This window comes from Homo sapiens, chromosome 11 (genome assembly GCF_000001405.40).
Source record: "Homo sapiens chromosome 11, GRCh38.p14 Primary Assembly".
NCBI classification, from domain to species: domain Eukaryota; kingdom Metazoa; phylum Chordata; class Mammalia; order Primates; family Hominidae; genus Homo; species Homo sapiens.
In genome coordinates this window covers 19651107-19673888 of record NC_000011.10, presented here as the reverse complement: position 1 = coordinate 19673888, position 22782 = coordinate 19651107, and the positions used below count along the sequence as shown (strand labels likewise).

The window sequence follows — 22782 nt, the reverse complement described above, 5'->3', positions numbered from 1 at the left end:
AAATTCAAGTCATCTTGGGTCTGTTGTTTCTAATAGGGCTTGCTCACCCTGGCCTGAAAGGATCCTGGGACCCTGCCCCTGAGCCCTGGTTGCTCACATTCACTACTGTGCCTAGATTTAACCCATCATGGAAGGGAGGGAACAGGCCCCGAGAGCAGAAAGTTGCAAGCTTTGGTGCTTGTGGTGTTTAAACAAAACCAGAAGACAAGGCACACAAAATTTCAGCCCTCTATTTAAAATCATTGCCAGGATTCTTATAAAACTGACTAATGTGCCACTTAATGTCTTCTGTTCCTCCCCAATTAACACCTCAATTTGAGAAAATTATTGTAGAGTATAGTGCCAAGGAAACTTGTTATCAGAGAAGCTGTGCTCACAGGGTGGTGAGAGGAGAGGTTTGGAATCAAACTTCTCTGGGTTTGAATTTTGGCTTGGGCACAAGCTGGCTGTTTGACCTTAAGAAAATAACTTCACCTTTCTGTTCTTCATTTGTTTCCTCATCTGTCAAATGATGATAATAATAGGATTTATTTCTTAAGATTGGTAGAAGAATTAAAATTCTGTGCATAAGGCACCCAGCACAGTGCCTGGCATATAGCAGATGCTCAAAAAACACAGACATATCTGAATATATTCATAAAACTCAATGTAGCATCTCTAGCATCCTGGTTCTATAAATGGAGATAGTAATAAGTATCATTACAGGGTTGCGTGTGGAAATTCCTTCCATGGTAATGGTCCTCAGCATATGCTAAGTATTAGTCTTTTTCTCTTTTCTTTCCCTCCCTTGCCTAGGCTGCTCAGAGGTTCAGAGCCAAATTCAATGTTTAATATAGCTCTTGGGCAATGGCTATTTCTTTTCCTTTCTATTATATCAACCATGTTGTATCCATGTAACTTGTTACAACCTGTCTCAAATTCCTTTTGAAGAGAGGCCAGGAGCAAACAAACACACAAACACTTACAAATCTATATTCTGCCCCATGGGAACTCTTCCCTGTTCCTCTGCCTGCCTCCTTAAGACCTAAATCCTCTGGCTTAGAAGGTACCATAAGCTGCTAGCTAGTAGCTGCATGGTTCCCTGACCCCTGATTCCCACTGTTTCTGACACAGAGGGCACTCAACCTGCCCATGGGCCTATCCTGAGCCTGAGCTGGTTGGTGTGGGAGGTGCCAGCTTGCGTCATCTCTTAGGCTCCTTCCCCATGTCCTCTCTCTGCTGCTGGTTCTGTGTCAATTACCCTCAGCATATCCCTCCTGCCCTCCATCCCTTGGGTCAAGCAGATGAGAAAGAAGTCCCATTGGCCACCATTTGCAGAGCATTTACAGGGGCTCACTGGCTCCTGAGGATACCCCCAAGAGGAAGATCCTATCATGATACCCCCTTTATGGGTGGAAAATTAACACTTGGAGAAATAGAATAACTTACTCAACCAAGGTCAGTTGGTGGCAGAGCCAGGAATAGAACCCAAGCTGAGGAAAAATGAATCACAATGCCACTTTGACCAGCAGCGATACCCATGTAGATCTCCCTCACTGCTAAGGGTTGAATGCACATTCAGGCTCTGCAACTTTATAAGAATAAAAAAATGGAGAAAAGTTAAACAACCACACAAATCCCAAATATTTCTTGAGCATGGACTCAGGACCTGGTGTTGGGCTGGGGACTTGGTGAGACTGTGCACTGCACTTTGCTATGTGCCTGGAAGCATGCTCGGCAACTCCACTCAGAGTTCCCAGGAGATGTAGTGCTGGTCCCTGCTCCATCCCCTGGCTTGCTGTTCCCTCAGCCTAATCTCATTCCTCCTTTCTTCCTTCTCATTTCTCATTCTTACTCAACTCGGAAATCTTCCCCAAGAAGTCTACATTCCCACAGCGCTTGGTGGCACCCATCACTATTGTAATGGCCTGTCTGTGAATGTCTCTCCCTCTAGACAGGGCATTTTCTGCGGACATGAATCAAGCTTTACACATCTTTGAATTCCCCACATGTAGACCAGTGCTAAGCATGCAGGAGGAGCTCCTAAAGGTTTGTTTACCTAAACCAGGAGGTGGCAAATTACAGCCCATGGGTCAGATCTGGCCCTTGGCCTGTTTTCGTCTGGCCCCTGAGCTAAGAATGGTTTTTACATTTTTAAAGGGTTGCAAACAAATAAAGCAAAAACAAGAATATGCAACAGAGACAGTACACGGCCGTGCAAAGCCTGAAACATTTATGATCTTGCCCTTTATGGAAACAATTTGCCAACCCCTGCTCTAAACTGTTGAAACTCAGTCTTGTGCAGGAAACAGGTGGGGCAGAGGAGCTAAGGGGACAAGTGGGGTTCAGTCTGACAACAAGGAGCTTCGCTGGATGCAGGAGAAAGACAGGAACCACGAGAAACAGGGGAGGGAGCACATCATGCCAACCTGTGGTGGGAGCAGGGAGCACTCAGAGAGACTCCACAGAGCAAGCTGAGATCAAAGGGCCAGTAGGGTTTTCAGAGTCACCATCAACAAGACATATTCCTAGCTGAAGGACAGGACATAAAAACTACATGAAATAAGAAGCTCTGTGTAAAGAAGCCGATAACCTAAGAAATCACGCCATAAATTATGGAGGGATACTGTGTGCTTGTGTGCTTGGGATTGCTAAATGTCATAAGTTTTTTAAAGCACAAACCAGTAGTTGGTGAGACAAGAACAAGAGCAAACAGTACAAAACTAGGGAAATCTCAAGAACTAGATCAGAGATACATGGCAACCAGTGCTAATTGATCACCATCTTCTTTTATGATAGGCTCAGATGTAGCTTCAAAATGCCTGTCAGCCCAAGCTCCAGCCTGCTCTGTGCACTTAGCATGCACCCCGGAGGTGTAACCATTTGCCATCCTTAGACTAGATGGAGTCTCCAGACTCTTGGCATAGCGGGGGCTTTGAGGAGAGGGGCTGGGGAGCTGGGTGGACCCAAGGAGCTCCTCCCTTAGCTGCGCTGGCATTCCAAGGGGCCGGATGAACTAGATTGTGGCTGCAGAGTGCTTAGACTAGGCCACTGGGGAAGACAGGGTGTCATTATTTATCCACACAAAGGGCTGCGTGGTTGTTATGTCTTTATTAATAATTTCCTGTGGGCTCAGAGGTGCCCGCAAGCTGCAGCATCACCTAATTGGCTGCTTCTGCCTTCTATGTGACCCAGCTGCCGCTTCAAAGCCTGGGCCTTCCTTTGGGTGTGGAGGGACCAAGCAATTAGCACCCGCCTCCTCCCTCCTCTGCTCAGTGAGTCAGAGAGATGCTTGGTCAGCAGTCCTCTTCTCCTGGCCTGTCCTCTGAGGACTTCAGACACCCTCAGCAGCCTCAGATGAGGAGCCACAGGGTGGCTGCAGCCTTTTCCTTGGAATGTGACCAAAGAACATGCACTGTCCCCTCTCCGCGGGGTTCCCTGAGCACTGCAAGGGTAGACACTTCACTTGGCAAGTATCTGTTGAGCCTGTACTGTTTGTAAACTCAGCGGGAGTCCCCGGAGATGCAGCAGTGAGGAGGAGTGGCTTGGCCTTTTCCTTGTGGAGTTCCTAGGAAATCCAACAAGGCTGTGATGGCCCGGGGAGATCAGAGTTAGGTGAGCAGGCAGCAAACCCAGACTCCGGGAATCAAGGAAGTCTTGCTAAAGGATCTGAGGCCTACGCAGAGATGTCATGGATGGGTGGGAGTCACTGCTGTGAGTGGCAAGGAGTATGCAGGTTCTAGGCAGAGGCAACAGCGTGTGCTAGTAGAGGCAACACAGTGTGCGTGGCATATGTGAGGGACTGAGGCTCAGAGAGGCTGGATCATAGCTTGCAGGGTGGGCATGACAAGGAGAGGCCGGAGTCCATGAGTTAGTGAAGGCAGGAGCTGGATCGCATGGGACTTTGTGGCAAACTGAAAGCATTAGGGCTTTTTCCTGAGTATGTTGATGTGTGTATGCAGGGCATATGATTATATTCACATTTTAGAAAATCTTGAGATCTAGATCCCAAGTGGGATTTAAAATCTGACCCACTGGGCATCACCCAGGACAAGGGAGGAAGGAGCCCCATCTCACCATGGGTCACCATGGGCAAATGGGTCTCACTCATTGGCACTTGTCCTTAAAAGGGCACTGAAAGGCACTTGGAATTTACTAAGAGGAAAGGGAACTGGATAGGGTACTGGATAGGACCCTCTTACCAAGCTCAAACCACTCAGCCAGGTGCTTCTGGCTCAAAGGCTCACTAGTGCTGAGCTTCATTGCAAGCAGGATCTCACTGGCGGTGGAAGGAGAGGGAGCTGTGAGCTCCATGGTACCCAATGCCTAACCTTTGGTAGGTAATCCATACAGTTAGCACTTAAACAGAGCATACTGTGCACAAGGCACTGTGCTTTACACATCCCAACTCATTTAATCATCCCCAGACCATGAGAGAGGTGCTATTGTCATCCACACTTCAGTGATGTTAAAATTGAGCACAGAGAGGGTAAGTCACTTGCCCAACCCCATATAGCAGGTACATGGTAGAGCCACTTTTAGTGACTCAGTGAAGAAGGAAAGGAAGGAATGAGAAAGGCCATCTGAGGCTTTGGAATGGGAAAGTATTCAGTGAGATGAAATGGAGTAGATGAGAACACTGGAGTGACAGTGCATGTAGGTGTCCAACATGGCTGGAGCCTGTGGGGAGTGGGCAGTGAAGCCCATCTTGCAGATAGCTTGTGCAATTAAATGGCCTTTCATACAGAAAGGCCCAGTGTAGCTTCTGGCACTGAGGAATAGCTCAATAAAACTTTGGTGCTGGCTGCACTGTCTCTTTGTGCCCAGTGCCCCTGCTAGAGCTAACCATCTCTCTAATGGCCGTCACTTGTCCAGCCATGGATTTTCCCATTCACCTGTCTGCTTGTCCTTCATTTTGCTGGCATCCCAAGAGAATGGACAAGAGATGAAAATCCAAGGTTTCCTAATTGTCTCCCATAGGCCTGTCATGTATAGGGAAACACTCAACAAGCATGAAATAGGAGATTATTGTCTGTTACCTGCATTCTGCCTAGACAGCAGGCTAACTAATACCCTAAGGGAGAGAGCCAGGGATCCTGGGGCCTTACTTCTGATTTGGCAAGCAGATGAGCTGATGTGAAAGAGTGTGAATTCTCAGCAGCCACAGATTGGACACCAGGGTGAGGTGGCTCAGCGTCCCTGTCTTCAACCTAGCCTTGAAACAAAGGATGAGTCAAGGGCCTGAATGAGGAGGGACAGGAAAAGTGTGCCCCACCCTGGATTGAGATGATGCAAGATCATCACTGAGCTACAAACACACTTCAAATCACTGGACTATGGAACGTAGGGCTACTTTTTTTTTTTTTTTTTTTTTTTTGAGACCGAGTCTCATTCTGTTGCCCAGGCTAGAGTGCAATGGCATGAATTCGGCTCACTGCAACTTCCACCTCCCAGGTTCAAGAGATTCTCGTGCCTCAGCCTGCCAAGTAGCTGGGACTACAGATGTGAGTCACCACGCCTGGCTGATTTTTGTATTTTTAGTAGAGGTGAGGTTTCGCCATGTTGGCTGGTCTTGAACTCCTGACCTCAGGTGATCCACCCGCCTTGGCCTCTCAAAGTGCTGAGATTACAGGCGTAAGCCACCATGCCCAGCCTTAGGGATACTTTTTAAGGCAATTGATGGCGACAATGTTTCATATGTGAAATGCAAATCTTATATGTCATGGGACCAAAAAAATGTTCTCTTTTGTAACATTTCCCTCCCTGCTCTGCCTGCTCAGATTCTCTCCTTCCTCTGTCCTCTCTGCTCCCAGGAGGGTCCTGCCAGTGTCGTCCTCTTGACCTGGGAATAGAGGGAGAGAATAGGTGGGATGGGCCTGTGGGTCTGGGCTGGGGGAGTTTGGGGGGATTTAGCTAAGACAGGCTGCAAGGGACCTTAGAAGTATAAGGGCAGTGGACGAGAGTGCTAAAACACAAGGAAACAAACACCTTGAGATGTGTAACTGCGGGTTTTAAGTCCCTTTAATGGTGTTTGAGGAATACAAATAAAGGACTTGAGTTATGTTGAAATTCCTTTTGGCTTCTGAAATGTGTTGTTTTAACCATGACACTGTTCTGGGTCTAAAACCCATGGACCACTGCTTTACTAGCTGTGTGCTTCTAGCTAATCTCATAGCAAAGAAGTCTATAAAATACACATTGATACTAGCCCAGTGAGTTCTCCAGTTCCTCAGAGATTATGCATTGACTTGTCTCATTCTATCACTTATTCATTCACTCACTCAACAAGCTCCTAATAAGCACCTATTATTATGTTCTAGGACCTGTGCTGGGCATAGGGGATCCAGAATGGTTCCTCCTCCAGCACACCTCAGTCCAAACCCTGGGCCCCACAACACACCAACTGAATTGTCTCCTCCTCTTCACTCTGTTTCTTCACCTCCTCGTGCCCCCAAAGCACACCCACAGGTATTGGCCATCTGGATTGGACTGAAGAAATTGCCAACCTTCCACCTGTGCCCATAGTCAGATACACATTGTAATTATTTGTCCACGTCTGTCTTCCCTGCTGACTCTGAGCATCTCAAGGTCAAGGACCATGCCTTACTGAGTTTTCAATCCCCAGAGTCTACAACGGGATCTAGCAAAGAGCAGGCACCAGTGAATAATTGTTCAACGTCTACAAATCTGTTTGTCTTTATTCTGTCAGTCAGCAAATAAGAACAAGCACATCCTCTGTGCAAGGCCCTGGCTCTGAGAACCCAGTGACAATGGGGACAGTATTGCTATGTCCACACAGCTAGCAGCTTCCTGGGGGAGACTGACAATGGGAACATACAGAGAGGGGCTGGGTCTAGTCTGGGGGTTGGGGTAGTTGGATTATGGTGGGAGGGAGGCTGGGGAGGGCCTTCTGGAGGAAGCGGCATTTAAATCAAGTGGGAATTAACTAGAATCAGCAGTTTTCAAACTGTTTGCATGTGGAAATAACCTGGAGAATTATATAAAAATAGTGGTGTCAGAGCCTTACCCCCAGAAATTCTGATTCAGTTAGTCTGGGTTGATACCTAAACACCTGCATTTTTAAAAGCTCCTTAAGTGATTCTATCATGAGAGGCCAGGTGGAGTCTCATTGAGCTAGATAAACGTGAAGGTGGAGGTGGAGGTAAAGGGGCGGAATGAGCAAGAGGGACATTCAAGGGCAACATGTATGAAGGTCCTGAGCATAGTCTAGAAACTGAAAGAAGTATAGTAAGGAGGAGGCAAAGACAGAGAAAGGGCATCATCTCAGCCTTAGCTCTCAGTGTCCACCAAGCCCCCATCATGACATCCCCAAGCTCCACAATCTGTCTGGGAGCCTACTGTGCTACAGGGGAGAAGCAAACATCCAGAGCTCAGGCCACCCACACTTGAGGCCACCACCGCAGATCTCCCTCAATGATGGCAGTACTGAGTGGTGGTTATTTTCTGCTGCCTACGGCTGCTGGAGGAGGAGTTACCAAGAACACCTGGCTGGGTAGGGACTGTGATGACAGGAGGAACGATTGGTTTCTGCAAAGGCATAATGTGACCTTTCTATGCCATCCCAAATATTGCTGAATGTGCATCTGGATTCCATTATATGTGTTGGGCCCCACCCTAAAGCAACTGAATCAGAATCCTGGTTGGTCTGGCCGGTGAAGAAACTACATTAAATATTGAAAGCTGGTGAACAGAGTGAGAAGAGCACGTGATTTTAACGTCAGAGAGAACGGATTCAAATTCTTACACTGATTCTTTGTTATTTGAACTTGCATAGCTGTTTAGCCTCTTGAAAGCTCAGTTTTATTTTACTTGTAGAAGGGATTTATAATATCTTACTTGCAGGCATGTGGGTGATATGAGACTAATAACGTGAAAGGTCCAATTGCCTGGATGGAAAGTAGTTGTGATGAAAATGGGATAATGATAGTGATGACGATGATGATGATGATGACGATGATGATGATGATGATGATTCTGCATTCTTTGAAATTATGTTGTGATTCATAATCCTAGAATGAAATAACTTTCAATTATGGTTGTAATCAATCATAAGTATCATATTTACTTATACTTTGGTTGATTAAAAAAGTTATTTATAAGAAGAGTGATAAGAACACTGTGCCAAATGTTTCACTATTAACTTGAGCCAATCATGCTTTTCTGCTCTTCCAAGAGAAGATTATAAATACTTCTGATGGTGAGAAGTTTGAGATAGGCTTGTCCTCAAATGTCTATTTTGAAATCAAGGTATAATAATAGTAATGCCCAGCTGAGCATCTACAGTCTCTTAGGGCTTTTACATATATTGAGTTTAATACTAGCAACACCTCTTCCAGAAAAATATTAATATCCCCATTTTACAGAAGAGCCAGTTCCTTAGAAAAAATAAGCCACAAGTCTTTTCCTGGGTTAAGCTTCCTGAGCAGAGCTGCCATGGGGAGGAGGAGAGGCTCATGAGCTGTCAGGAGCTCCAGAAGGGATGTCAGGCAACCGCCCCCTCATCCATGCACCATCTGCTTCTCAGCTCAGCTGCCTCAGAAACAGCATCGGCTCCACAGACCTGAAAGGAGCACTGGTCCAGAGAACTGTGGGAGTAAAAGAGGATCTTGGCCAGTCGGCTGCAGCCTAGAGAGCTTCAGGAACCACAGAGTTGAAGCTGCTGTTCCTGCAGAGGTTGCAGACATGCCTCTTGCTTCTTGGATTTGAGTGGCAGTTTCTGTTCTCTTGATTTGGCATCAGGCTCTGCAATGGCTCCCTCTCTGCCCAGCCCTTTAGCTCAGCCTCTCAAACCTGGGACTGCCTCTCCCTCTCCAACCCCCACAGGAAATGCGACATAAGTGATAAAATCCTTGGCTTTTGAGTTTCACAAGACTTAGGTCTGAATGCCAGGTCTGCTACTTACCCATCAGCTGTGTGACATGAGCAAGTTACTTAATTTCTCTGAGCTCTTGGTTTTTCCTCTGTGAAGCAGATATAGCTAAACCTCTCTCTCACACCCTGCCCTGAGGATGGAATGCGAGAGTGAATATAAATATGTCTAGCACATTGCAAACACATAGTAGGTGTTCAATACATGTTCTTCCATTTCCTCTCCTTCATTTGGGAGGTGGAACTCAACATTCTCCTCCATAGCAAAGGCTTCCTGGTATTGTAAAGCCCTCAAGGTATAGCTAATGGGTCAAAGGCAGGTAGGCTGAGGCCCAAGAATTGGGTGGTATCTGACTCTCAGTTTCTACTGAGATTCAGAGCTGTATAACCTACCCCTTTACAAGGCTTGCTGGAAGCTGTATAGATGGAAGACTCAATTCCTTTTCTGGGAAACTCATGTCTGTAGTCAATCCTGTTACCACCATATTGGCTTGGTGCTTCTCCCATAAATGGCTCTAAATTAAGCTTGGACTCATGACCTCTCCATTAATATTCTGCTGACCAGTCATAACCAGGCTGGGACATGAAACATGACTACTAAAAGCTCAGGGATAGCAATAGGGAAGCACAGACAGGACTAGGAAACTGGCAAATCTAGCTCACCTTCAGTCTGGCATCTGCAAAAGACCCAATCCATGCCTGCATGCCCAGCTATAGGACCTGTATCCAGGTGATGAAGGGTTGACTTTTTCCTCTCACCCAAAGGAGGCTTCAATCAAGAGCGTAAACTAAAAAAGAGGGAGACTCAGAGAAAGAAATCAATTTCAGTCTAAGGCCTATCTATCAAGTTCTGGTGTTCTTTAATAATTGAAGTTGGGTTTTGCCTTCTGGCTTCAAGGGAGGTCTGGTTCCCTACCTGTATAGCTGTGGGTTCACCCTTTGAGAGGGAAGAAAGGCTTCCTTTCACATAACAGAACAGATAAGTTGATAGTGGCCTTCTTGTGCACTGTGTCATGGATTCTGAAGCTGTGGTCTGGGCTTGGCAGGAAGGAATCTTGTCAGTACTTAGCGGTGCCTGCCATGGGTATTGGAGTGGGGAGTGGTAGTCACATGCTACACGGTTGTCATCCCTGCCCCATAGCAGAAAACATGTATTAGAAAATGAGTCCATACTCTTAACATCGAAGATATATGGATGTTATTGTATGTGAGGCTCTTTTGTTCTTTCTGCAGAGAACTTTGATGGAATCCAAGATGGAAGAGGAGGCTGGAAGCAAAGGGCTGGGGAGACTTGAATTGTTTTGAATAATAGAGGGAGAAAATATTGCAGTTTCTATGTTCATCTGAAAGGAAGGAGATAAAATGAAGAAGGAAGGAGGATAAGCAATGAGAGCTGGAAAAAGAGAATATGCCACTAGGATGGTGTGAGGCTGGGTGCTATATGACAATGGAGCAGACAATGAAAAGTCCATACCATGGGGGTCGGGGACAGGGGACCACAGGAACAGCTTTTGGATTACAGGCCCTGGAGTCAGACTGCCTGAGTTCAATTCTTTAGCCCTGCTACTTCCTGACTTTGTAACCTCAGAAGTTTCTTATCTTCTCTAAGCCTCTGTTTTATTTGCAAATTTGACATAATGGTAGTGTCTAATTCATGGGGTTGTGGGGACAGTAAAATCAGATAATGTATATAAAATGCTCAGCACAATGCCCACCATATAATAAGCACCCCATAAACATCAGCTTGTGTTATTTTCATGTATTACACACACCATGTCTAATATTCAATATGAAATTACATGCATTTCTAAAATACATATCCCCTCTCTGTCTCTCCAGCAAATCTTTAGTACACTCTACACACATACACACTGTCTTGTGTGAGAGATATTGGGTTTCCAGGTGAGCAGATGTGATGAGAACAGAGTCAACATGGGCTGGTTGGGGGGAAAGGGTCAGTAAACAACAGAGGAAAAGTGTGGGATCTCAGGGGACTAGGCAAATGGCTTATCCTTACCACTCCCCAATCAAGAACTGACTGAAACTGGGGAGGGCTTTGGACCTCCACGAGGCATGGAATGTGGCACTCAAGCTAACTGTAAGTGGTCCTCTGTGAGTCAGGAAGGCCCTAGCAGGCATCATCTGGGTCCCATGTCCAAGAAATAAGGATATGGAGTGGCAAGAGGAGGGCGTGCAGCCCAGGAAAAGTAGCCAAAAGGCTACCTGGCACTGGACCTGAAGCTTCAGTGTCTCAGGCATGGGTGAGACAGGCAGGTGCTACTATAGGAAGCCTATATCCTGCTACAGGAATTCCTGAGCCAGTGGGCAGAGCTTCATCTTAAGGAAGCAGCTGAATGGAAAGAAGGCTCACAGGCAGGCCTGTCCGGTGCCACTGGGGTGCCAGACAACTGAGGGCCACACTGTCACCCCTCCAGCTGCCTGACATGTGGTGGTTAGCAGGAATGGAAGAACACGTGGGGCATGGGACCCACATGGATTCTGAAAGGCTGAAAGGTAGGCCTCTCAGCAATTGCTATTCTTTCCCTGAGGAGGCAGGGATCTGGTCTTACATGCTATGAACCTTGCCAACCAGTTTCTATCAGGTGTTTCCACCTCCTGCCTCACCCCACTGATGGGCAGGGAGTAAGGCCACCTTGGGTAGGCAGCTGCTTCAGTCTGGTAATCACAGTGACTCTGACCACAGCAAACGGCCTTCTGCTGTGGGATCAGCTACAATCATAATATTTTTTTTACTCACTTTGGATAACAACCTTCTGGTCTTTGATGGTAGGTAAACTAGAAGTCTCATATTCTTTTCACCTTTTTTTCTATTAATTTTGTAATAAACTTGTTTAAAACCACACACAGAAGATGATCTTCCTCTTCACACATTTTTAAAAAGAATTTAAGTGATGCTATAATTTAAGCCAGAGGTAGTAGACATGTGGCTGCTGTACCCCCACTTCCCATTCCCACAACTATGGCAGACATTGCTAATCAAACCCAGCACTTTTCCACTGCATTCCAGGCAGCCAGTAGCAATTGATTGGGGTGGACATATACATCAAATGTGACTTGCTGCCTGATCATTCCTCACCTCAAATTCAAGAGCCCTGGGTTCCAATTTGACTTCTACCACTAATTAATTGAGTAGCAATTAGTCTTCTTATTAGTTTCCTTATTATATGAGATAAATGTCCCACCTAACTATAGATTCTCGTTTGAATTGAATGGATACAAAGAAATAACATGAAATCAACAATGAAATCCACTGAGTATTGAATGTCAGACTCTACTCAACATTTTCACACTTGTTCTCTTATTTAGTATCATAATAACTGTCCACACTGGGCACAATTTCCTCACTCCTTCACACATTAAGGATACTGAAATACAGTATATTTAAGGAACTTGTCCCAGAGCACAAAGCTAATGAGGCTACAAAGCCAGGATTACAATCCAGGTCTGTCTGGTCTTTACAAACACTTATTTTTTTTTCCTTTACACCTTAGTTTCAAAGCGCTCTGACAAGTTTAAATACTGTACAAACAGAAAAACCCAGGCCTTTTATTGTTACGATGTTTTTGACTTTGAATCACCTCATCAAACCGAGTGTCAACAGTGGCACTCTGACAATAGCCAAAATATAGAAGCAACCCAAGTATCCATGGAAGAATGAATGGATACACCAAATGTGGTATATCCAGACAGTATGATATTTTTCAGCCTTAAGAAGGAAAAAAAATTCGGACACGTGCTACAACATAGATGAGCCTTAAAGACACTGTGTTAAGTGAAGTAAGCCAGACACAAAAGAGAAAACACTATAGGATTCCATTCATGTGAGGTACCTAGAGTACCAAATTCATACAGACAGAAAGCTGAATAGTGGTTGCCTGGGGCTGGGAGCTGGGGCGACAGGGTAGATGGTTATTATTTCAGGGGTAGAGAGTTTCAGTTTGGGAAGATGAAAAAGTTACAGAGATAGATGGTAGAGATGGTTGCACGACAATGTGAATGTACTTCATGCCACTGAACTGCACACTTAAAAATGATTACAATGGTAAATGTCATGTTATATATATTTCCACCACAATTAAAAAAAGAGTGACACCAAACAAAAGCCCCACTTTCCCTCAATTTTTAGAGCATTTGCACAGAAAAGTGCTATTATGATTGCTACTACTACTATAGTTAGAAGGACAACTCTCCATTCTCGACTGGGGGCATGCTACACTCAGGCTCATTTCAGAACCTTGGAGCAGCAGACAAATGTTTAGAAATTATATTCAATATTATAATTTTATATTGTGAAAGCAAACAGATCTACCTGTTACTTTTGTACTATATCTTGTCCACACTTTCTCGACTGGCAGGACATGGGATCAGAAAGGTTGAGGAACGCTGTCTAGGTGTCTGAAACCAGAGGTGGTTGGGTTATCCTGACTTTTGTTGGGATCTGATGCTCTTTCCAGGTGGCTTCTCCCCCTCCCTAGTACCCTGTGGACCTCTAATTTCTCCTGACATTGCCCAGTGCCACTGCCTCCCCTCCCTACTTGCTTTCTTCTGGACTCCATCTCTTGTTGCCTGGGTATTGAGTTCAGGAACGTATGAACCCTAATGTCCAGGCCAGGAAGTGGTGAGTGACAGTGATGACTCATCCTGAGTCACACGAGAAAAGAAACCAGACAGGTGAAGAGCTCCCAGATCAAGGCCTTGTCTGCCAGAAAGCACCAGCCCTGCTGGGGCAGCCCCTGGGATGCAGTGGCCGAGTGAAGTCGGCATAAAGCAAGCCTGTTTCCTTTGGTCCAGACTTGCCGTGCTACCAAACCTGATATTTTCTGCAGCACTGAACCTGTGTTTACTTTGAACAGCTTTGCCTGCCAAACTCTTGCTGGGGAAGGGAACACAAACAGTGAGAGAAGGATGCCTGGGGTACTCCTCTCCAGAACATTTTCTTTCCAAACAAGAGTTGTTTGCCTGGAAAGGCTCAATCTCTTAATGGTAGGCAGAGAAATGATCAATAGACTAGTATTAATAGCAATAATAATAATAATAATAATAATAGTTCTTTTGTGTAGTGCTCATTATGTTCAGGTATTATGCTAAGCACTCCATAGAGAGTAACTCATTGAAACATCACAACAACCCTGTGAAGTAGAAATTAATATGATCTCCATTTTACTGATGGAGAAACTGAGGCTCTCAGGGACTGAATCACTTGCCCAAGGCTATACCACTAGTAGATGGCAGGGTTAGGATTGAAACTCAGGAATTCTGGTTTGAGCCTCTTGTCTTCAATGTCTCAAAGAAACTGAGATCTAGACTAATGAATCATCTTGAGTCCACCCTCTTTCTAACCTTGCAGCCCATATCAATCTCTTAGCTTGTCCTGTTGATTCTGCTTCCTACTTGTATCTCCAATGTGTCCCTATATAGCTCAGGCCACCATCATCTCTTGCCTGAATTCCTGCTATTTCCCTACTTCTGCTCTGACCACTCTCCTCCCTGCCTACTTTCTATACATGAGCCAAAGTCATCTTTTAATATCATAAATTAGAGCACATCACCCCCCAGCACGTTAACTCCCACTTAAGACCCTTCTTCAATGCCTTCCCATTGCACCAAACTCCTTCCTGTGTCACACAAGGCCCTACACCATCTGGCCGTAGCTTATGCTTCTTGCCCACCACACACTCCATCTGAACTGGCCTCAGCATTTGCCCATCCTGTTGCCAGCACTCAGTCTTCACCAAGTTTTTCTGCCTACCTGGGTCTTGCTGGCTCCTTTTCATACCAGAGGTCTCCGGTCTAAATGCCAGTGCTTTACAGTCACCTTCCTTACCCCTTATACAATTAGATTCTTCTCTGTGTCCTTCATAATATCACAACTTGAAATTGTACACTTAAATTTCTTTAGTTTTCTTTATATTATCCATCTTCCCTCTTGGACTATAAGTCAGCAATATGTCTATTTAACTCACTGAAGTACTTCCAGGGCCTAATGGTACAAAGACAGAGCATCCTTTAGCTGCTAAGCTTGTGTTTGTCGAATGTTTTGCTGATTTCGTTTTCCCCAGGACTAGTGGAGAGAGGTACCTGGCTTCCTGACTCTATAACTTTCCTGTGCCTCCAGCTGAGCACCCTTGATTCTAAATGTCAGCTTAAATCTAATCAGTCATGTACTGGAATATTGGCTGTCATGGAAAAATAACCCCTGCTTTGTAGAATTTTCTGATTTCCATGGTGTAAATACTCCCACCATAGCTGATTTCAGGCAATCACTGTGGTGTCAGTGAATGCAGAATTAGCAAGAGACACAAGCAATTAGTTCTCATGAGCCAGTCAGAGCCTGCACGGGGATACTGCTGGGGCTCACCCAGATCTAGAGCCAATCTTACCCTCAGTAAGAGGATTTAGGGAGTCTGGCTTCCACATTCAAAGAGCTCAGCATAAAGCATTCTTTCTGCCACCTCTGCCTTCCACCAGGTGGCATGGATCTGATACTATGGCTGGTAAGTAAAAGTTTGAACACTGGTACCATGCAAAGACCCCGTCAGCATTTTAGTTCCCCTGCCTTCCAGCTGTGTGACCTTGAACAAACCACATAGCCTCCTAAGACTCACTTTTCTTAACTGTAAAATAGAGATAATAATAGTATCTACATGGCTGTTGTGATGATTGAATGAGTTTCTGTGTGTTAAGTATTCACTATAGAATAATAGCTAAAAGTCTAAACTCTGGAGTCAGGCAGCCTGACTCCAATGCTGGCTCTGTCACTTACTCGCTGTGTGATCCTAGGCAGGTTACTCAACCTCTCTGCGCTTAGTTTCTTAAGTTGTGAAATGGGATAATAATTGTTCCCACATCATAGGAATGCTGTGAAAAATTAAGTAAGTTTATAAATGTAGAATGCTTAGCACAGAGTAAAATATATTTATTGTTTGTGATTAAATGACTATAACGCAAACAAAAGTCCAGAGAACAGTGTCTGTTACATAGTATGAGCTTGATAAATAGTAGCTTTTATTGTTAATAATACCTGATCTATTATTATTGTTAATAATACCTGTGTTCCCCAGGTCATGTCCCCTAGTGTTCTCAGATCTAATACCTGAGTCTTTATCTCCCCATACCTCTGTCCCTGCTCTGATGAGCTGCTCCTATCCATCACCCTGGGCTCCCCTTCCTGGTGAAGGATCCTTGCCTGGATCTGTTGCTTGTCTCATCCTCTCAAGACTGAGCTCTTCTTCATGCCTCCCTGACTCACTTTCTGCCCGCATAGGGGTCTGGAGCCGCAGAGCAGTAGATGATCTTCGTTTGGAGGGTGAGGGACATTAGCACAGTCTTTCCCTCAAGGCCCTCCACATCTGGTCTACCCTGCCTGGTATCACTAACCCATGTGTTCCTCACCCTCTCAGAATACAGAGAAGGAGTGACTTCAGAAAGCTGAAGGAAGTGGGAAGCACCAGCATGGTGGGAAATGGGCAACAATTCAGATATGGCCATATTTCCCTAATATACACAGCCAACTTGACCATCTGCCTCTGGATGAGGCATAATCCAAAGAATATGGGTGTTGAAAATTAACTTGAGTTCAAATCCTCAAATAATGCCTACCCTCTCTGAACCACAGGGTGGTTTTTTTATATTAAATGTATAAAATAAGTTCCAACTGCTCAATTGTATTGGGAAGTACAAACTAGCAAAACGTGTATGTACCTGGCACAAACTGGATGCCCAGAAAGGAGTGGCAAACATGGTAGCCTTCCTGATCTACCCTAGCCTCTCCTGCTTTTTCCAGCTCTAAATACCAGAGGGCTAGGTTGAGCCACTGGTCTTACTCATCTCTATCCATACTTTCTAGGCATTCCCATGGATTTTAATACACCCCCAGCCTCAAACTCTCCCCTCAGCTCTGAATCTGTAGAGCTAACTTCCCACTCAACAGCACCACTTGGACATCTAGAAGACATCTCAAATGCATTACAATCAAGGGAGAACTCTTGGTTCTCCCACTTCCCTCTGCAGGCCTTTCCCTCCCCCAGTGTATCCACCTGAGTAAATGGCTCCTGCATTCTCCCAGGTGCTCAGGTGGAAAGCCTAGGTGATATCCTTGATTCTTTTTTCCCCTCACACACAGAATCCAAATCACAAGCAAACATAGCCAGCTCCATCTATAAAATATATCCTGAATCCGACCGCTTCCTTGTTTCCTCTGTGGCTACCGTCTCAGTCCAAGTAACCATTTTCTCCCCCTAGAGCATTGCTTCTCACAGGAGTCCAGGGGGATGTAGATTCCAAGTCAGTGGGTCTGGGCTGGGGCCATGATCTCAGTTGATGTGGGTGTGGCTGGGTCCCCAGGCACCCTGTACCAAGTCCCCCTGCCTCCACTCTTTGCCCATTTATTCACCCATCAGCAACCAGAGAGATCAGATTAAAACATAAATGCCTTCCCTTCAAACATGGAGTGAAATCCAACATTTTAACATGACCTTCAAGCCTGGGCATGATCTGGCTCTGTGCTCCTTCCCCAGTCTCCTGTCTGTGCCTCTCCCCCCTCACTCACGGCATTTCACCACAATGGCCTTCTTTCTGTTCCTCACACACACCAAGCTGCCTCCAGCCTCAGGGGCTCTGCATTTGATGGCCCTTCTGCCAGATGAATGCTGAGCTGGAGAGTCCAGTAAAGCATGACGCACCACAAAAACCAGTAAGGTACAGGCCCCCGTGACAAGGGATGGGCCTTTGCTGTTGAGAATTGGCCCCAGAGCGCCTCCTGCAGCTCTTCTCCCTGGTAATGGTGGTCTCTGCATGCCACTCCTCAGTGCTCTGCATTTTGTCATTTCTATCTGCTATTTAGATAGCAACTTAGCTTGAAGCTGTGCTGTGAGATAACCATAGCACAGCAAGATGAGCTGACACTGCTGAGCCCCTTCACGGAAAGGTTTTCTCAAGTCATATGTTCTGAAAATGACATCTTCCCAATCCCCCAGCAGAGGCTTGTCTCTTTGAAAACCAAGGGATCAGCTGGACAATCTTCCTTCTCCAACCAGTGGCTTGGAGGAGTGTGAGGCTGCTCTTTGATCTTTCTGGTCACCCCTAAGATTCTTTTTTTTAAATTTTTTATTATACTTTAAGTTTTAGGGTACATGTGCACAACGTGCAGGTTTGTTACATATGTATGCATGTGCCATGTTGGTGTGCTGCACCCATTAACTCATCATTTAACATTAGGTATATCTCCTAATGCTATCCCTCCCCCCTCCCCCCACCCCAAAACAGGCCCCGGTGTGTGATGTTCCCCTTCCTGTATCCATGTGTTCTCATTGTTCAATTCCCACCTATGAGTGAGAACAATGCAGTGTTTGGTTTTCTGTCCTTGCAATAGTTTGCTAAGAATGATGGTTTCAAGCTTCATCCATGTCCCTACAAAGGACATGAACTCATCCTTTTTTTGGCTGCATAGTATTCCATGGTGTATATGTGCCACATTTTCTTAACCCAGTCTATCATTGTTGGACATTAGGGTTGGTTCCAAGTCTTTGCTATTGTGAATAGTGCCACAATAAACATACGTCTGCATGTATCTTTATAGCAGCATGATTTATAATCCTTTGGGTATATACCCATTAATGGGATGGCTGGGTCAAATGGTATTTCTAGTTATAGATCCTTGAGGAATCGCCACACTGACTTCCACAATGGTTGAACTAGTTTACAGTCCCACCAACAGTGCAAAAGCATTCCTATTTCTTCACATCCTCTCTAGCACCTGTTGTTTCCTGAATTTTTAATGATCGCCATTCTAACTGGTATGAGATGGTATCTCATTGCGGTTTTGATTTGCATGTCTCTGATGGCCAGTGATGATGAGCATTTTTTCACGTGTCTTTTGGCTGCATAAATGTCTTCTTTTGAGAAGTGTCTGTTCATATCCTTCACCCACTTGTTGATGGGGTTGTTTGTTTTTTTGTGGTAAATTTGTTGGAGTTCATTGTAGATTCTGGATATTAGCCCTTTGTCAGATGAGTAGATTGCAAAAATTTTCTCCCATTCTGTAGGTTGCCTGTTCACTCTGATGGCAGTTTCTTTTGCTGTGCAGAAGCTCTTTAGTTTAATTAGATCCCATTTATCAATTTTGGCTTCTGTTGTCATTGCTTTTGGTGTTTTAGAGATGAAGTCCTTGCCCATGCCTATGTCCTGAATGGTATTGCCTAGGTTTTCTTCTAGGGTTTTGATGGTTTTAGGCCTAACATTTAAGTCTTTAATCCATCTTGAATTAATTTTTGTATAAGGCGTAAGGAAGGGATCCAGTTTCAGCTTTCTACATATGGCTAGCCAGTTTTCCCAGCACCATTTATTAAATAGGGATCCTTTCCCCATTTCTTGTTTTTGTCAGGTTTGTCAAAGTTCAGATAGTTGTAGATATGTGGCATTATTTTTGAGGGCTCTGTTCTGTTCCATTGGTCTATAACTCTGTTTTGGTACCAGTACCATGCTGTTTTGGTTACTGTAGCCTTGTAGTATAGTTTGAAGTCAGGTAGCATGATGCTTCCAGCTTTGTTCTTTTGGCCTATGATTGACTTGGCAATGTGGGCTCTTTTTTGGTTCCATATGAACTTTAAAGTAGTTTTTTCCAATTCTGTGAAGAAAGTCATTGGTAGCTTGATGGGGATGGCATTGAATCTGTAAATTACCTTTGGCAGTATGGCCATTTTCATGATACTGATTCTTCCTACCCATGAGCATGGAATGTTCTTCCATTTGTTTGTATCCTCTTTTATTTTGTTGAGCAGTGGTTTGTAGTTCTCCTTGAAGAGGTCCTTCACATCCCTTGTAAGTTGGATTCCTAGGTATTTTATTCTCTTTGAAGCAATTGTGAATGGGAGTTCACTCATGATTTGGCTCTCTGTTTGTCTGTTATTTGTGTATAAGAATGCTTGTGGTTTTTGCACATTGATTTTGTATCCTGAGACTTTGCTGAAGTTGCTTATCAGCTTAAGGAGATTTTGGGCTGAGATGATGGGGTTTTCTAGATATACAATCATGTCATCTGCAAACAGGGACAATTTGACTTCCTGGTCACCCCTAAGATTCTATCCTGTCTGATCATCCAGGGGAGTGTGGGAGGTGGAGTGGCTCTGCCCAGGAGCTCAGGTATCAGTCTTCTCAGGTTCAAAGTCCAACTCTGCCAGCTGGGATGCGTTACCATGGGAAAATTACTTAAGCTCTCTAAGCTTTGTGTTCCTCGTCTGCAAAATGGGTATAGCAGTTGTTCACTATCTCACATCCTTACAAGTGTGTTCATATACAGGATGAACTTAGGATGACTCCTGGCACATAGTAAGCACCCAATAAATGTTAGCTATTGTTGTCATGCCTTACCATCTCTGATATCTTCCAATAACACAGCAACCAGGGCAGCAGAATTGGACAGAAACAGCATGAGGTTTTGATGCCAGTCTCTGCCTGTCTACACGTCTTTGGATAAGCTGCATCACCTGAGTTTTCTTATCTGCAAAATGGGAATAGTATTAGCAACTCTCTGGGTACAGTGAGGAATATTCGTGAGCTCACAAATGTAAAATGCCTGGCGCTTAGAAGAGGTTTAATAAATGTTAGTTCTCTTCCTCTTGTCCTCCTTACTCTCCCTCTGAAGCTTGCCTATGCATTCACAGTACTTTTTTACTTTCACTGTCACGCTGAATAAATGAATACATTAAGTTAGTGTGAGCAGATACTTTAAGAACTCAGGCTGGTACATTTCCCATGTTTCACCGCCATCCATCATGAAACATTAACAAGAGCACTTAAAGAAACACAGCCACATCAGAGATAGAACGAAGCTCCTCTGTTGCTCAGTGGCTCTTGTGCCAAGTGTCACATGCTATTAAGGCCAACAGCAGGAGAGGCTGAGCTGAATGGGGAGCCTCAAGAAGGGAATGGAGAAAGGATGGCTACCGAGAAGCTGCACTGTTCATAGTTGGGGTCTGTGGCTGGACAATCTCTGCCTTCCCTAGAGCTTTGGCAAATAAAAACCAATGCTTTGTGGCCTCAGAAAAAGTGGAGATAACCTTAACACCCATCAACAGGAAACTGGTTAAATAAATTGTAGTCCATGCAAACTATGAAATGCTTTGCATCCATTAAAGAGAAAGAAGCAAATTTATGTGCTGCCATGGAAAGCTGCCAAGTGTAAAAGCAAGGTGGAGAATGCTATGTATGGGATGGTTCCATTTATGCTAAAAAAGCTTGGTAGTCATTTGTGGACATAACTTCAGGTAAATGCATAAGCTGCACACCAAACTGGTGACAGCCTCTGGGCAGTGGGGAAGCAGACTCAGGGCAGCCATGGAGGATAAAGCGACACTTGTGCTTTTTACCACGCATCCTTCTGTGCTAGTGATTGCTTTATGCATGTGTTACTTGGGAAGCTAAGGGAGAAAAGGGCAGTGGTGGGCGTGGAGTGGGGGGAAGAAAAGAGGGGAAAACCAATAGTTCTTTGTCCAAAAACCTAAGCTTAGACAATCAAGGATGCTAGGGTCTGGGGGAAGCCTTGATTCCTCACTGCATATCACAGTTTATTCAGAGAAATATCCAACTGTGCAGCCCTCACAGCTGACCCTTGGCCCACATCCTCAGCACCTCTGCAGAGGGGCTGGGATGGAGGCTGCCTTGACCCAGGACCCCACAAGAACCCACCCTGCATGTCAGCTCTGCTGGCTTCAGACCGGAGCAGCCCTGGAATGAGGATGGTCCCGAGGACACTTGTAATAAACCAAGATTCCTCCAAGCACTCCTCAAAGCCCCTGACCCTGGGTAGATTCTGAATGAAGGCTTCTGTTAGCTGGGATTGTAGGGGGACAAGTGGCATTTTTTTCTAATAGGCTTCATTTAATTGGTTAATATCTTGGATTAATCACTGTGCATCCGAGTTATTATGAAATAAGGTCACTCCTTGCTCCAGGATGTTCTATGGTCCACCATTACCCACAGCATGCAGTACAGCTTTCTTACGCTGTCACTCAACGTCCTCAAAGTTCTGGTGTATCTAAATACTCATCCTTCAAGGTTTAAAGAAAAAGCATATCCTATTATGCTTTATGACTCATCCTGCCAGAAATGGTTTTTAGAAACAGATGCCATCTGTCAAGGCTGCCATCTGCCCTGTCTTTGCTATGAGGGCTAAGGTGGATGGCTAAGCTGGTCTATTCAGCCTCAGTTTTTCACTCAGATCCTCCTCAGGCTCTTAAATGAGTCAGGATTGGTAATAATTCAAATTATAAAACAAGTTTCCATGCATTGAGCTTTTACCTCATGCCACATGGTGCTAAGTGCTTCACATACATCATCCCACTTACTTCTCACAATGAAATTTCAAAGTGGGTGTCATGTGCTTCCTTTAAAGATGAGGAAACTGAGGTTCAGCAAGCCCATGCTGACAGGGGAATCTTGACCTCTAGGTAACACTGCCAACCCAAGGCATGGTCTGACCACTCACTGATGTGGGCACCTCTGCAGCCATGTGGCCCGGTGGGGTGTGCAGTGAAGGACATTCCAACAAGCACGTCTTACAGACATGGCACATTATATGTTTCATGTGCATCACAGGTTCTGAAATTCTCCATGCCTCTGTCCCAAGGGAAGTGTACCCAGGCCTCTCTTCTCCACCTTGGGGCCTAGCAGGTTGAAAATGCTTGAGTTAGGCTCTTATTTAATCTCTCTGCTCTTATAGAACCCTTGAGAAAAGACGTTCTCCCTGGAGATTAGCTGTGAAGAATGCTTTCCAGGAAAAGGCTCTTGAAGTGTGTCAAGAGGGTCTCTACAAACCTAATGGCTTTTTACAGACCTAGTGGGGTGTTTTTTTTCTTCTCCCAAGAGCTACCTTGAACGGAGACTCAGATGATGGGA

At 45.0% G+C, this 22782-nt stretch overlaps 1 protein-coding gene across 11 annotated transcripts in view, besides 2 other annotated features; it reads right to left on the bottom strand.

Annotated features, from left to right (window-relative positions):
- Positions 1-22782, bottom strand: part of NAV2 (neuron navigator 2) — a 776366-nt gene that overhangs the window by 447713 nt on the left and 305871 nt on the right. The window lies entirely within an intron of this gene.
- Positions 3189-3710: an enhancer, noted in NCBI's record as "NANOG-H3K4me1 hESC enhancer chr11:19691725-19692246 (GRCh37/hg19 assembly coordinates)". NCBI's record gives its function as "activates a minimal SCP1, AML or CMV promoter by ChIP-STARR-seq in primed H9 embryonic stem cells {active_cell/tissue: H9 hESC(primed)}" and the evidence as "EXISTENCE:reporter gene assay evidence [ECO:0000049][PMID:30033119]".
- Positions 13444-13643: an enhancer, noted in NCBI's record as "active region_4523". NCBI's record gives its function as "activates an Ori minimal core promoter by ATAC-STARR-seq in GM12878 lymphoblastoid cells {active_cell/tissue: GM12878}" and the evidence as "EXISTENCE:reporter gene assay evidence [ECO:0000049][PMID:35858748]".